The 16,502-nt window shown below is 39.6% G+C and overlaps 2 long non-coding RNA genes across 12 annotated transcripts in view; one reads left to right on the top strand and one right to left on the bottom strand.

Moving 5' to 3' along the window:
- Positions 1-16,502, top strand: part of LOC124906243 (uncharacterized) — a 207,146-nt gene that overhangs the window by 91,668 nt on the left and 98,976 nt on the right. The gene's annotated exons all lie outside the window — the stretch shown is intronic.
- The window catches only part of LINC02030 (long intergenic non-protein coding RNA 2030), a 74,093-nt gene that overhangs the window by 41,662 nt on the left and 15,929 nt on the right, over positions 1-16,502 (bottom strand). For 4 of the 11 annotated variants that reach the window (NR_183740.1, NR_183746.1, NR_183749.1 and 1 more), the window contains one exon: positions 12,724-12,854. The exons of 3 other annotated variants lie outside the window; for them this stretch is intronic. This is a non-coding gene — a long non-coding RNA (long intergenic non-protein coding RNA 2030). Of the gene's footprint in view, positions 1-12,723; positions 12,855-13,030; positions 13,162-15,362; positions 15,504-16,502 lie in introns of all 11 variants that reach the window. 4 more of the 11 variants (NR_183745.1, NR_183748.1, NR_183742.1 and 1 more) reach the window with 2 other exon arrangements.

The following is a 16,502-nucleotide window of genomic DNA, read 5'->3' as shown; positions in this document are numbered from 1 at the left end:
GGCCAATATGTTAATAAATTATCTTCAGTATTCTTGCTTAATTCTACTAGTGTTTTTTTCAACTATTATTATTCTTATGATTGTTTTTGAATCACCCATTAGGGGAATTTTTTCATTTTCTTCCCAGACTTGTCTTTAGCCTGCATTAACATTTCCTCTTTGCCTTAATGCCTCCCTTTGGATCATTGTAAGCTGTTTTCATCTTCTCTTACAGCTTTTCCTTTAAACTGTTTTGCTAACATTTTGCTGTTTCTCTTCCAATCCAGAACATCCCACTTCTTGCTACAGGTGCTGGAAAGAGAACAGGAACCTTTAATAAGCAAGTGATTGGTGTGTACAGTGTACATGCTACCCTTTCAATGAAAAGGCACTCAGCTAGGACCTCCTAACAGGAAGGGAAATCAGCACATTTCTAGGAGAAAAAGGAATAGTTCCTCCTAAATTCTAGTTGCATTTTCTCTCTCCCAGGTTCATATATGTTGACTGCCACTTTCTTTTTTGTTATCCTGTGCTTAGGTAATTTTTTTCCCCTTTTATCACTGTTACCTTCTCTATTGATTTAAATTAAGCTTGGTTTGTATTTCTTTGAAAAGAAAATACAACCTTGCTGGGTTGGGAGGTTTGTCTAAGGCCTCTGTGCTCCAGTAAAAACCTATGTATGTAGGTCCTGCAAACCAACATTATTTTTGCTGTAAAAACATCACGTGCATGTTCTGAGACATGGGCCCTCTGTGTAAGATCCCTTCACACATGCAAACACAGCTGACATTTCAACACTTCCATAGAGTGAGAGCAAAAGGATCCTGGTTCAGAAAGGTCAAGGCTGTCCTACAGGGCAGGGGGCAGGGCTTCCTTTGACCTTCATCTCCAGCATGAGCAATACACTGGCAAGTGTTCCAATTTTATACCTTCTCATACAAAGCTTGTTTCCAAAGATGTGCCTCGAATTTAAATTCCCTCAATGGGATAATGTTTAGTTTTCTATTTTTATGTAGTGATATTACTACAAACTTGGTGACTTAAAACAACAAAACAACATACACTTATCATCTCACAGTTTCGGTGGGTCAGGAGTTCAATCATGGCTTAACCGGGTCCTCTGCTTAGAGTCTCACATGATGTCAATCAAGGCTTTGGCTGGGGTTGTGGTCTTACTTGAGGCTTGAATGGATAAGGATTTATTTCTAAGCTCACTTAGGTTGTTGGCAGAATTCAGTTTCTTGCAACTAGGATGAGGGCTTCTTTCTGGCTGTCATCAGATCCTACAGTCTGCCTCATAGTTCTGTGCTGTGTGGGGTTCCCCAGCATGGTTTCTTGACTCCTCAAAGTTAGCAAAGGTGGGAGAGAGGAAGGGGGAGGGAGAGAAAAAGAGAGAACACATGTGCAATACAGGTGCTGCAATCTAATATAACATAATCACATAATCACGTACACATAATGACTTACATCTTGCCATCTTTACCACATTCTATAGGTTCGAAGCAAGTCATGAATCCTTCCTTCCCACATTCAAGGATAAGGAATCATACGGGGCATGGACACCAGGAGGCAGAGATTGTGGGGCTGCTACCGTAAGAATCTATCTGCCACAAAAATGTACATGTGCCTTTTTCCTTAATTTCTTTCTTTTTTTGTTTTGTTTTGTTTTTGGAACAGAGTCTTGGTCTGTTACATAAGCTGGAGTGCAGTGGCACGATTGTAGCTCACTGCAGCCTGGAACGCCTGGGCTTAAATGATCCTCCCACCTCAGCCTCCCTAGTAGCTAGGACTACAGGTGTGCACCACCATTCCCTGCTATGTTTAAATTTTTTTTTTTTTTTGAGACAGAGTCTCACAATGTTGCACAGGCTGGTCTCAAACTTCTGGCCTCAAGCGCTCCTCCTACCTCAGCCTCTCAAAGTCCTGGGATCACTGGCATGAGTCTTACTATTTTTTCTTTTAAAAGATGGAGAAAAAGTTCACCATGAACTTGACCTTTCCTAGATGTGGCCCAATGATTTTGATGAAATATTAGGTCTTATTAACTTCTTTTCCCTGTTAACATGCAGCACAAAAACCTTCTTCTCAGATTCTTACTTAACTAATTCTCAATGAATTGATTAGAATAACATCTCAAGATGTTATTTCTATTCCATATATCCAAGGTCATTTTAGAATGATTGCGTTTCAGACCTAGAGTTATTTCCTAAGGAAAGCAGTTGTAAGTGACCCTAAGGAAGGGTTTCTAGTTGAGTTCCCAAAAGTGTATACCAATGAGATCATTAGTTCACCCATTGCCATAGGATTTCTGCTTTCTCTGGATTTTGTACATTATGAGTGACTTAATACTTAATTTTTTCCATAGAATCAATCAGTAAGCAATATTCAGCATATATTAGGAGTATAGCATTCTGTTGAGTGTGTTGCAGCTGTACCAAACAGTAGAATGCATGTTTATTGCCTTTACAGAGCTTACATGAGTTTCATGAGATGCGACATCAATGGCAGATGGGGACCACAAAGCAGAATAGCTCTGGAGTCAGACCACCTATGTTAAAAATGTTTTTTACTGCTTGCCTGCTGCATAATCTGTTATATAACCTTGGGAAAGTTACCTAAGCTCACCTAGTCTCAGTTTCTCTTTAAAGTGGGTACAGTTATAATATCTACACCCTGGGTTGCTATAAGGATTCCATGAGATGATCCATGTCAACTGTTTAGCAGAATGTTCAGCAATACTGCCACATGACAAAGCTGCAGGGACCCTCACTCACATCAGTACAAGGCAAGTGGTATCCCCAGGGGTTGTCAGTTGGGCAGCCCTGAGTAGGTACTTAATAAACATTCTTGCCTGCCTCTGATGTTAAAATTATTACATGTGAAATTGCAAACACAAATATTTAACAGGTCATGGTATGATCAATTTCTATCTGATTTATGTACAATTATTGTCACTACTTTTTTTTCTGGTCACTTGAACCCATGAGCTCCTCTCTGCCTGCTAGTCTTCATGCTCCCTACTTCTGTATTCCACCACCTATGCCCACATCTGTCCTCATGCCTGGCTCTTTCTCATCCTTCGGTCTCTTGTCAAATGACCCTTCCTTAGAAAGCCTGCTCTAACCATGTTATCTAAAGTCATTTTCCCCCCAAATCATCAGTTTCTAACACATCACTCTAGCTTATATTCTTCATTGCACTAATTTTCATTTTGTTTGTATTTCTAACTTTTGTTTTCTGCTTCCCTAAAGAGAATACATGCCACACAAAGGAAAGCAGGGATTTTGTCTGCCTTGAACATGCAGTTATTTTCATCTCTTAGCATGGGGTCTGAAACATAATAAGCACTCCAAAAAGACATGAGTGAGGGAGGGAGTGAGTGGAGATCCGTTTGAGTTGTGTCTTCAGGGACAGCCCTGTGGAGAAGGTAGGTTTTTACTCAAAAAAAGGGAGAGAGACATAAGCTGTATGGTAACAGAAGAGGGGAGGTGTTTAGAAAGAAAGGTTTGGCCATTTTCTTGAATATCAGGCTCTACAGCAGAAGGAAGTTTCAGAATTTAACCATACTGTCTAAGGTGTATATCTGCATTACAGATTAAAAGATAATAATGCCTGACTTACAGGGATTCTTTGACAAATAATAAGGTAGTTGAAAGTCTTTTGTCAACTACGTAAATCACCTTAGGATATGAGTAGTTATTTCCATGCTTAGAGGCTAGAGGGAATAAAGTTTATTCATTTAAAAGAGAGATCTATATAAAGAAATAAATATTTTAAATTACATAACATAGCAATTCAATTCATTCTCTTTGTAAAGCGTTCAAATATTCTAGATAAAGTCAAAGCTCTCTTGATGACCATCTCTAGTCCTAGGCCTTCTGCAGAGGTAAACATTGCGGTCAATGAGCTGTAAGTTTTTTACCTTTAAAAATCTGCACATTTATTTCCAGATTACCATAAAAGTACTTTAACAATATTTCTAAAACCTGCACTAAAAAGTAAGCCCTATTAGTCCCTGGATATGTTTTTCTATGCTTTCCATTATTGAAATCTGAGTTAATTTAATTAATTAGCTCTTTGGATATTTCTTTCTTCTTTCTGCTAAGATAGCATATTTTGTCCTTTAATAAAATACTAATTTAAGAATGCTTATAAACTTCTGGGGATATATCATAAGGAAATAATTACAAAAATAGCAACAATTTATGTATAAAGATATGTATCACAACATTGTTTATGATGTTGAATGATTGAAGCAATGCACCTGTCCAACAAAGAAATTAATCATTAAATAATCACACAACCACAAAACTGGAATATTATAAAGCCATCAAAACTGGTATCTACAAAACGTGTTTTAATGTATAGGAATGTGTTAATGTGTTAATAATGACAAATAGTAAAAGGAGCCTACAAAACTTAAATGCTGTGAGCTCATCAAAGTGTGTTTAGCTAGAAAGAAAATAAGACTAGAAGATCATATGCATGAGTACTAAGAGTGGCTATGTCTTGGTGGTAGATAATGAATGATTTTTATTTTCATCTTTATACTTTATTTTCCAAATGTTTCTAATAAACATGGAATAGATTTTCATTTTAGTTTAATTTTTTTTAAATCAAAGTAATAGACATACATAGTTTAAAAAGGCAAATAGCAGCAAGGCTTTCAGATAAGGGTTTCAGATAAAAGCAGCAGTTCTCTGCAGCTCCCCGCCTCACCCCTGCATCCCCCTCCCACAAAGATGATTTCTTCTGGTGTTCTACATAATATACATATACTGCTATTGCTTGATTTTTTTAGTTTTAGATGTTATTGATTGACTTTCTATAATAGAAAAAGAATTAGTTCACTTTCCACCTTCACCCCATTCTATACGTGAATATTTTCCTCTCTCCAGTGTACCAATATAGTAAAGTAATAATGTATGGTTAAATATTTTTAAAATTATAATTGTAAGTGCTGTTCATTCATGACATTTATAGAACTATGAATATATAACGTTTTCTTTTTCTTTCTTTTTTTTTTTGTTTGAGACAGAGTCTCACTCTGTCACCCAGACTGGAGTGTGGAGTGCAGCAGCATGTTCTTGGCTCACTGTAAATTCCACCTCCCAGGTTCAACTGATTCTCCTGCCTCAGCCTCCTGAGTAGCTGGGATTACAGGTGTGCACCATCATGCCTGGCTAATTTTTGTATTTTTAGTAGAGAGGGGGTTTCGCCATGTTGGCCAGGCTGGTCTTGAACTCCTGACGTCAGATGATGGCCTGCCTGGGCTTCCCAAAGTGCTGGGATTATAGGTGTGAGCCACCATGCCTGGTCAATTATATGACTTTTTCTATACAACTTTTTGGTTTTCTTGGAATTGATAATTGCCTCACATTTTCCTATCTTTAGACTTCCATCTACCAAGCAATAATTTGTTCCCAAACTTTCCAAGAGAACTGTTTACCTTATCTCAACGTGGTCACACTTGTCAGCAATGCTAAATTGTTGTGTAATCTCCCAGTGCTGCTTTTGGAAGACCAATGCCATTTTGAACCCTGATCCTTTATAAAAGACTCATTTGTCTCTCCACGGGCTTTTGGGAAGGGGTGTGTGTGTGTGTGTGTTTCTGTGTGTGTGTGTTGTTTTGTTTAATGTAGTGGTATTCTGAAACTTTTTATGATAATACACCTAGTTTTGGGTAATTTTGTATTCATTTTGCTGGAAGCTTGACGCCTCCTTCAATCTGAAAACTCATGACCTACTGAACTAAGAGATTTTTCTTGTTATTTCCTTGAAAATTTTGTCTTCTCATTTTTCTTATCAATAGACCTTTAAGGATTTTTGTTTGGTTGGTTGACTTAGCTTAGTTGGTTGATTTGTTTTTCACTCTTGCAGAAATGCTACCACAAAAATCCTTGAGTATACTGTCTTATGCTCATTTGTAAGTCTTTCTGCACCATAAATACTTTGCAGTAAATACTGAGATGTAAAATAGAATTGCTGCATCATAGTATATGTGTATTTTCAAATTTTATATATGAACTACATGCTTCCAATATGGACAAAAGCCCCACCATCATTGGCTAATTGTTTTCAGTGCTTAATCACAATTTATCCACATTCCTGTTTCACATTTGCTCTTCATAATGATCACAACTTTATTTTTAACACCTCACCACCATCCAGCCAATCTCTGACTCACTCTTCCAGGAAGGAGCCAGTTCATAATCCTAGCTCTACCACTCACTCCCTAGCAGCAAGAACCTCTCCAAACTTCAATTTTTTCCTATGTAAAATGGAAATAACATCTACTTCCCAGTGCTATTGATGGATTAAATGAGATATATCTAGCCTGGTGTCTAGCAAACAAGAGATACTTAAAATATACTAACTCCTTTTCCTTAACTGTCAAAGCTCTACATTTGGAGATAATATAATTAACACGTATGGTTCAGAGATACAACTTAATTTCACACAATAACTCTAATTGGGATCTACAATGATCCTTACTAGAACCAAATATACATGTGAAAATCCAGATATTCCCCATAGGTCAACTAAGACCCACACCCAACCCTCTCCCAAAGAATAGGGCCTGGACAAGTCCCTTTAGAATGAACATTCCACTTTGCATGTTCTGGCACCCTCCTTCTTCCCCAGAGGGGTTTAGGATTGTTCCTCTTTTACCCTGACAAAGTTTCATATATTTTAGATGCAGAATAGGGGCCCATGGTAAGGGAGAATAGCTTCTGTTCCATAATTCCTTTATCTGTCTCATTATCCAATCCAGTTTTATGAAATCTCATGGCATAAAATGACAATTAGCTCAATAATTATTGCTTATTTGAATGTATCACTACTCAGATAACAATTACCTATTAAGCACCTGCTATTTTGAAAGTACTATGACAGACTCTCAAGGGGACACATCTCTCAGTAAGGAATGGTCCTCGCCTTCAAAGAGTTTATGGCATAAAAAGTGTTAAAAACTTGGTTGATAACAATCAGCCAAAAGTATAAGGTCATGTGACTACGTGTGCCTTATAAGTATGAGACAGTGAGAGGTAGGGTCATAGATGAGTGGGGAGAAAAGTGTGGGAGAAAGATTGACTGCCCAGATGAGGGTGTCTGTATGACTCAAATTTCTGTGACAGCAGCACAGAGCAATGAGAGAGCCCTGGCTTTGGGAACAGGTAGACATGAATTGAACCCAGTGCTTGTCTGACTTGGGCTGCGTGTGCAGTCTCCATTTATTCATGCGTTTGGAGTAGGACAATAATACCTTCCTGACAATTGAGTGTGTAGGACATACAACAGGTGCATAAAAATGTTTCAGTGATAGCCTGGCTTTGTAAAGGTAAGTTTGCTTCCTCCCTCTTCCCTTCCCTTCTTTATGGTATTGGATGGTGTGCAAATTTATCTTCATGGTCTTCTAAAGAGTAGCCCTTGCTTTACCTCTGGTTCCTGTCCCATGCCACTGGCAGGGGATGGCGTGGAGAACATGGTGGCATCTTGCCTCTGTTTATTGCTTATATCTCTATATTTTTCCCTTGACCTTATCACCCCAGAATGTTCACATGGGGTCTGGCAAGGAAGCCAGCTACCCTAGCTGCATGTGATACTTTCATTTATGACTATTACAGATCCTTCTGTGCTAATGGGGTGCCCTCTGACATAAACAGGCCAAACCAGAGCAGTATCTGTAGGGGTTCTAGGCAAGGGTACAGGTCAGGATACAAATTAAGAGGGGTGTGTAGTGACAATCTAGAATCGATCTGATTATATCTTGTATTCTAGAATGTCTATTTATATATCTTGGCCTAACAGACCTAGAGAGATAATCAAACTATTTCTACTGGGTATTTCAGAAAATGGTTGGAAAATGGCTTGGTAAGTGAAGCTGAGTCCCAGCTCACTATGTTAAAGAGCTGTTCTGCATGATTTATGACCTGGGAAAAATTTATTGAGTATCTACTATATGTCAGGCATTGTGTGCAGGGTAGGAGACCCTTGTCTTCTTCCTAACTCCCTTCTCAAGTCCCACAGTCATGCCTATTTCTGTTGCAGTGGTAAAGATTTAAATTCTATTAACTTCTATTATAAAATAATAAAAGTTATTGAGCATTTCTGACATTCTGGATACTATGCCAAATGCTTTGCCTACTTAACATACATTATCTAATTTAAGCCTTATTTAAACCTCTTGAGGTAGGTACTTACATGATCTCCATTTTAACAGATGCAGAAACTGGAGTAGAGAGGTTAGGTGACTTGCCCACAGCCACACGGGTAGGAAGCAGAGATGTCAGGATGGGGACCAGGAAATCTGCCTCTAGTCTGTGCCTATAACAACCACCTGCCTCTCTCCTGCCTCATAAACCCGGCATCAGGCATCCTTTTTCCCTTCCACACTGAAATTATGAGGATCTTATTTAACCTTATGGATTCTCACCTTTTTCCAGGTTCCTCTTGAGAGACACATTTCTCCCAGAATCTCTACTTTCCTTTTTCATGTGGCAGCCAACTTTGCCCAGATTACTTTTCTTGTCCCACCTACTATTCCCCCAAATATGAAGCCAGGCCCATCTCTCATTCCCTGACACACAGCTAAGTCCAGACCACGTGATTTAACAAGAGATTACTAAAGCCTTTGGAAAACAGAAGGGGATTAAAGTGCACACGGCAGAACCCATCCACAGACTTCCCACGGTCCCCCATCACTGACTTCCTGCAAGTCACCATGTTGAAGGAGCCAGTGCATCTCAGCTATTGGGAGGCACCTCTACCCTGAACCCCTACTCTGCTAAAACCCATGTCAAACAAAATCACGCCAAAATCATCTTCTAAAAGAAAGCATAATCTGTTCCTATAACTCCATCTCCGAAGAAAGTTTGATATTGTTATGCAGAGCCTTTGGCCCCATGCGGTCTCTAAACATCCCACATCCGATGCAGGGCTCGGTTGCTTTTTGCGGAACCAAAATGCCCTTTAGAAGGCTTATACACTATTGGCGAGAGTCTAAATTAGTTCAACCTTTGTGGAAGACAGTGTGGTGACTCCTCAAAGACCTAAAGACAGAAATACCATTTGACCCAGCAATCTCATTACTGTGTATATACCCAAAGGAATATACATCATTCTATCATAAAGAGACATGCATGTGTATGTTCATTGCAGCACTATTCATGACAGCAAGGACATAGAATCAACCTAAATGCCCATCAATGATAGACTGGATAAAGAAAATGTGGTAGATACACACCATGAAATACTATGCAGCCATACAAAGAAATGAGATCATGTCCTTTGCAGGGACATGGATGGAGCTGGAGGCCATTATCCTTAGCAAACTAATGCAGGAACAGAAAAACAAATACCATGTGTTCTCACTTATAAGTGAGAACTAAATGATGAGAACACACTGACACATAGGGGAGAAAAACACACATTGGGGCCTGTTGGAGAGCAGAGGGTGGGAGGAGGGAAAGGATCAAGAAAAATAACTAATGGGTACCAGGCTCAATATGTGGGTGATGAAATAAACTGTACAACAAACCCCTATGACACATGTTTACCTATGTAACAAACCTGCACGTGTACCCCTGAACATAAAACTTTTAAAAAATGCCCTTTAAACAATTGTTCATTGTAGGGAGACCCCTTGAAACTATTGCTACGGAATAAAAGATGAAATGCTCCTGATTATTGTAAATACAAAATTGCATGCAGGATTGTGTAAAGACAATGCCAGGTTGGACTGCCAGAATGAGCCAACACCATGTGATGTGCTTCCCCCTGCAGAGAGCCTATGAATGGACATGCAGTCAGGAAGGTTTCACATTACCAAGATTCCTATCCCAGAAAAGCAGATGTTCATAGCTCTGGGAATGGAATGCGACCCTTGTGGAGAGCCTATAAACAGATGCGTGAGGGGCACCTGTCCATATGGATAAGATAGGGGTATAAACTCCCTCATCTTGCCGCGGCTCTTCTAGGCCTTTTTAGGATTAAGGCATACTCCCTTCTGAGAATTTCTGGTCTAACCGGTTGTCTAGCTTCACGTCCTGTATCTGTGGATTGTTTGTAACCAGCTTTTGCTGCAACTGTTACTGCTGATTAATATCTGGCTAATCATAGGTTATGGAAAGACTGTGTTTCTGTTGTAAGGCTCTGTTAGAAATTACTGATGCACACACTATATTGTAAATTCTTATCTCTGTATACTGTACTTCTGCATATAGTTGTTATGTTAAAGAATTACTTCATCCACATACGACCATCTCACCTCATAATCAAATGACCCTAAATCCCTCACTAACCTACCCCTGCCCTCACTAAGCTTAACAATAAATGCTGGTATATTCAGTGCGTTAGTGGCACCATGGGACCGGAAGGCAGTGATCCCCCAGACCTAGCTTTCACTATCTTTTGTGTGTCTATTATTTCTCGACCTGCCGATCCGCCTGGGAACAAAGAAAGAGCCCCATTGCATTGCGGGCTGCTGGCCAGATCCTGCAATATCTGGCACTCAACTGGGAACAAAGAGAGAGCCCTGTTGCATTGCAGGCTGCTGGCCAGATCCCGCAATAGTTCATGCTACCTCCTATACCAAGACAAAGATGAATTTAAGCCTACTGTCTCTGAACTTGGGGATAGTAACAGGGATCCAGCTTGAAGCTTTAAAAAGGCCATTTTCCCCCATTTCTACCCATCAAGCTTTGAAAAATATCAGGGCTGAGTCTTATTTAGGATGCCTAGTTTGCAGTCATAAAGCATCTCAGTGTTTTTTTTTTTTTTTTTTTTTTTTGAGATGGAGTCTTGCTCTGTTGCCCAGGCTGGAGTGCAATGATGTGATCTTGGCTCACTGCAACCTCTGCCTCCCAGGTTCAAGTGATTCTCCTGCCTCAGCCTCCCGAGTACCTGGGATTACAGGCGCATGCCACCACGCCTGGCTAATTTTTGTATTTTTAGTAGAGGCAGGGTTTCACCATGTTGACCAGGCTGGTCTTGAACTCCTGACCTCAGGTCATGTGCCCGCCTTGGCCTCCCAAAGTGCTGGGATTACAGGTGTGAGCCACTGTGCCTGGCTACATCTCAGTTTTTAAAACCATCTCCCACCTTCATTATCTCCTTGTACCTGAGACATCAGCTCTCATTCCTGGGGAGAACATTTAGAGCCTTCTCATGCCCTAACCCTACACTGATACTAAGCTCAGAGTACAGGCCTGGGCCTGACCTTGCTTCCCTGTGTTCCTGGGTATTTTCCTGGACTCTTCCCATCTTGAGTTCTTTCTCCTCCAAACCTCCTTGCTGCAGGTGGATGTCGGACTGGTTTTGGTAACTAAAGGGGAATCATATTCTTAACAAAAACCATGACACTTCTTGATATAGGATTTCCAGGTACTGACCAACGTTCTTTGCTAATAAACTTTTCAACCACAACTGGTTCTGTGCAGGTGTGCATTTTTAAACAATGAACCAGTAGTTCAAAACAAGTTTAAACCAAATCCCACATAAACAAGCACAGTTTTACACACCAAGATCATTCTGTTGTTTGCCCTCGTTGCTTTGTGTAGAGCAAAAAGGCATTGAGAACCTCAAGCTTGGAGTGTTTCAATAAATCACCCTCACACAAAAGGATCACAGTTAAAAATCACTCCTGTTCTTCTTGATCCTCTCCATCCTTTCAAGGTAAAGAGAAGGAGAAAGGAGGAGGAAACAAATCATCGTTGATTCATTGACCTGTTTCAAGACATGCAAGCAGAAAGGCCAGGCTCGTCTCATTGCTACGTGTGGGACATAATAAATCTGAAGCATTAAAATGCTGATAAATCTGCATTAAATCTGATAAAGTGTCACATGTGAGCCTCTCAGCCATTCATGAAGAAGAACATGGCCCATCTAGATATGCCTCAGAAGGTGCATAAATTCTCTCAGGCCAAAAGTAACAAAGTATTTTATAAAGATCTATTTTTTTCTTCTTAAACATGAATATAACCTAAACAAAAAAAAAGGAAAAGAAACAGAAACCATACAGACAACAATAACAACAAAGCTAGCGATTGTTTACTCTATGGTCCCAGCTTCATTAATCTGTGGGACAGTTTGAAGATGAGAGCAAGTTTTGCCTCATCATTCATTTACAAGCTACTGTGTTTATTATGTTCATTATTAATCCAGTTTTAATGTATTTGTCCATGGTCACAGAACCTGTCACTGTCTCTAATAACCCTTGTTGATCTGAGATCAGGCATCTCATTTCAAACCTTAGCATTATCCTCCACATACTATATAGGAAGAATAGATGTAGTCTTTGGGAGTTATCAACCTAATAAAGTTTCCAAAGAGGATGTGAGTGAACACACACACACACACACACACACACACACACGTATGAATAAAATGATTCTCTCCGTCCAATAGCATAACATCTTAGTTTAATGTTACTCATGTAGAGAAACAGGAAAGAAATTAATGGATGAATTTATTATCACAGTTATTATCAAATAACCGCAAGCCAGGTCTCATTTCATGACCAACACTAAATCTACACTTGGCAGGATTTCATCACCAATGGGAAATCTGACAAGCAGGCAGAGAAACCAATAGGATTTTAAAATGTTTTTAGAATTACCCTTTCAATAATCAAAAACCAGTTTATCTAAAACATAGCAAATCTTATCTTCTGTGCAAACTTGTACTCACAACTTATTTCCCATACACGTGGTAAATTACCAAAGCAGCTCTAAATTTGCTGACCTTTAATAAAGATAAATTCTCCAGGGAGATGGGAACCAGCTTTCCTTTTTAAATCCATTCCTGGATTTCTTCTGGTCTGGAATCCAAACTGGGTGCCTCTCACGTTTACATGTAATCGTTTGTGAGGATCTCTAATCAAGAAAATAAATCAAAGAAGGAAGTCTTAAATCTGTATAAAGAGAGCCTCGAATTTGCATAATACAGTACTGGTTAGAAAAGAAAAACACATTTTTCCTAACTTTCTTCAGATATATATATACATATTTTTTTTCTTCCCCAGCGAAGTCTGGCTAAAAGATCTTCTTACACATTAAGTGAATCCAGCGGGGAATTAGTCTGGCTGGAATGCTTGCTGGAGTTTTGATAATGAAACCACTGCTGTGGCTGCGTTTTGTGAGTTTCATGTTGAGTCTTCAAACTTACAACAAGCGAATTCACCTAAAGAAAGAACCATAGTGCTATTACAGCTCAATAAGTGAAGGGCTCCCAAAAGGACTCAGAGTTTGAAATGGGCAGGATATATTTGCATTTGTTTATTTGAGTTTCACGTCAATTCTGTGATGTAGATGCCACAGGAATCGATCTCTATGTTTTACAAGGGGGAAAAAAAAAACTGCCGGAAAGAGGGAGGGTGACTTGCTCCGGATTAACTATACCAGTGGTGACAGGTCACTCTTAGGACCTCGATCTCACCTCACCGATGCTTCAGACACATGCAAGAGGTCTTTGGAATCCAGCAAGAAGAAACAGTCATTCGTCTAATTCATCTCGGCATCCCTAGCTTTTAGTGTGGAATGGGAGCTAAGAAAATAGCTAGGAAATAAATTAAAGCACCAACAAGTTGCAAAGAGGAGAATAAACCAGTTATGGCCACGGTGTGTCACATTCTGAGGCCTCTCCCCAACCTATGAGGCCTCACCCATTGTCACCCATATGGCCAGTTTTGGGAAAGCCTGGCATGTGATGGTCTTTGTCATAAGACACAGACCTGCTGTTTGGAAACTTTCTTCTGTGGAGTCCAATTCTAAGGCTTCAGGCATCTGCTTATTCATGTGTACTATATGTGAACCGACAGTGACATGGTCCAAGCTGGAAGCTGTAATACTCATTAGCAGTTACTTCCACAGCATTTGCATTCAGCCAAACAGAAGTGCTAAAACACATTTGCACCTCAGTGACTATAGGTCCATCAGTTAAACATCAACAGGAAGTATCAGACAGGGATTAACGTATTATAGACTCTAAGCAAAAAAATCATTCAGATTTCGTGAGGCTTCAAGGTGGGAGAGACAAGAGCTATACGCTGTTCGTATTTATTGCTCAACAATATACACTTTGTGGTCCCATTTCTCGAAAGGGCCACAGTTAAACACTCTAGAAACTGAACTGTGTGCTGTAGATACTGTGTTGGGCTGGTATTTGCATTGTTCATATATTTCACATGGCAGGATGGAAGTCTGAAGGTCTTTACCTGACGCTGGTTCCATTTTCATTTAGTGTAGTGCTAACCCCATTACCCAAAGGTAATACTATTAGGTACTGAACTGTATGTTTAAGGTGGATTGTACAAATAAAGAAAGCCATCTAAGATGAACTAGTCCCCTACTGAAATACAAAATGAAACAATCCATTTCTTTTGTTTAACCTCTAGACCATAGTCAAAAATGTTTTTGAGTGGCTTGTAACAAGGATTATTTTAAATAGACATGTCCTTGCTCGATAGTCTGAAGCTTTGGCTATGCCACCCATGCATGCCCATGCCCCAAATTCCAAGCATGAGCTAAGCATCTTATAACACACACAAACCTCTGCCTTGCCCACCATTAGAATTTTAAGTCCCAGGTTAAAACTAGGTCTCTAGTTGCTTACAAATTTCAGTGGGATTTGGAAAAATCCTTTAAATAGATTTTTATTGGTTTTTAAGAACAGGGTTATTTTGTGTTAATAATGGGCATACATTAGGCTTTAGATAATTGCTTTATGTAACTTAGAGTTTTGGCTTTCAGCTAAATAAACACTCTGTGTGTTCACAGGTGTATTGTCCTCAAGGGCACTCTGCTTTTAAGGGTGGCAGCTGTTGCCAAGGTGTTGCTGATACAGTTCTGCGTATAATTTATTGGAAACAGGTGCTGGCTCATGATGAAGATAGACAGGAAACTAAAGCAGACAACATGTTTAACCACCATTTAAGAAGTTCAGGTTCAGAGAGACAATGTGTCTGAGATGTTTGGGGGATGTTGCCAGCATCCCAGTGCAAGTTTAAAAACTCCTGCAGATCACCATAAGGAAGAAATTGTACATGAATTTCAAGCAGCCCAGCCTAATGAGTGCCTGATGCTATGCTGCCAGATTTAATTGATTATATGAGAAATTTCTAGTTTGTGTAAGGCTAGCAAAAAATTATAAAATACTTTCCTAAGCTAATTGTTAAAAATTACTTTCAAATGAGGTAATAACTGCTAGTTTTCAATGATCTGAACGGTGGATTCAGCTCTAATGTGTTTTCTTTATGCTCAACGTATTTGCTACAGATTCTGTCTGTGGGTCCTTCAGTGTAGGGAACAGCCGAGGATTAGTGTTCACAGGGCATCGGTACAAGTTACGGTACTGAGACAGAGACTAGAGACCTGGATGCTCACCCTTTCCCTTTCAATGTTGTCCCGCTAGGGAGCTGGCCAGCAGGCTCAGGGATGGCTGTCACAGTCAGGGTTTTCTGGCGCTAAGGAGGAGTGGAAATGGGCTGGCACCTCTGCACTCACTGATCCCTCAGCCCTTAGTCCCTAGTAAAAACAAGGAGACATATCAGCTCAGACTCCTCGAAGAAGTCCTCCCTGTGAACAGGCGTTTGTATATTTTCCCAACTAATCTTGAGTCTAATCGGCATGCCGCATACTATATGTGTGCAGTAAATATGCATACTAAATACAGACGAAAAAGAAGTTGTTAAAAGTGCATGCACAGTTTTTCAACCTCAAAGACCTAGATATCTTGGCCATTTACATGTTTAAAAAAAATACCCAAAGGCACTAGACCACATTATGGACTAATGGCCTGCCAAATTTCATTTTTGGGAAAAGAATCCACGTTTGAGTTATAACACACAAGTGTAAAAAAAGCATCTGAAACAACAAAATTTGGTTAAAAACACTTTTTGACCCGCAGGCTCAGACCCCATGTGCCAAAAATGTTGACAAAACTTTATATCAACACCAGCGGGCATGCACAGTTTAATATCTGCTTTATGTGAAAAATCATTCACAATTTAATGCTTGCATTAATTTGAAAGAATTGTATGCAGTAGGTAGAAACCTTTACATTACCATTCCTAATCTCTACCAGCCGTCTTGTTCCCTTCTCAAAGAGAAAGTGACTGACAGGGCTGAAAAAAACCAAATCTGCTGAAGGGCCCATGCAGCTGCTTTTATCACCCTTCCAATAGCCCCATCCTGGCCTGAAAGGCAGGAATTTGGTTTGCATGCGGCTCAGAGCCTTCAACGGAGGTTTAGCATAGGAAAGCAAATAGCTGATGTAAAAATAAACCTTTTATTTGAAAAAAAAACTTTATAAGGCCCCTTTATTTAGAGGGAGACTCACTCAAATAAATACACCGTTAACAAATTTATATAATGAATAATAATATATACTGTAGCAAGTGATGAAATGGAATCCCACAAAACAAGTGCTGAAATCTGATGACTGATTATCAAACCTATAGGATAAATAAACCTTCTCCAATTAATAGCTAGTCTTGGGGATGGGTTTCTATAGAAATACCCCAT

This window comes from Homo sapiens, chromosome 3 (genome assembly GCF_000001405.40).
Source record: "Homo sapiens chromosome 3, GRCh38.p14 Primary Assembly".
NCBI lineage: Eukaryota > Metazoa > Chordata > Mammalia > Primates > Hominidae > Homo > Homo sapiens.
This window is presented reverse-complemented; position numbering and strand designations above follow the sequence as displayed.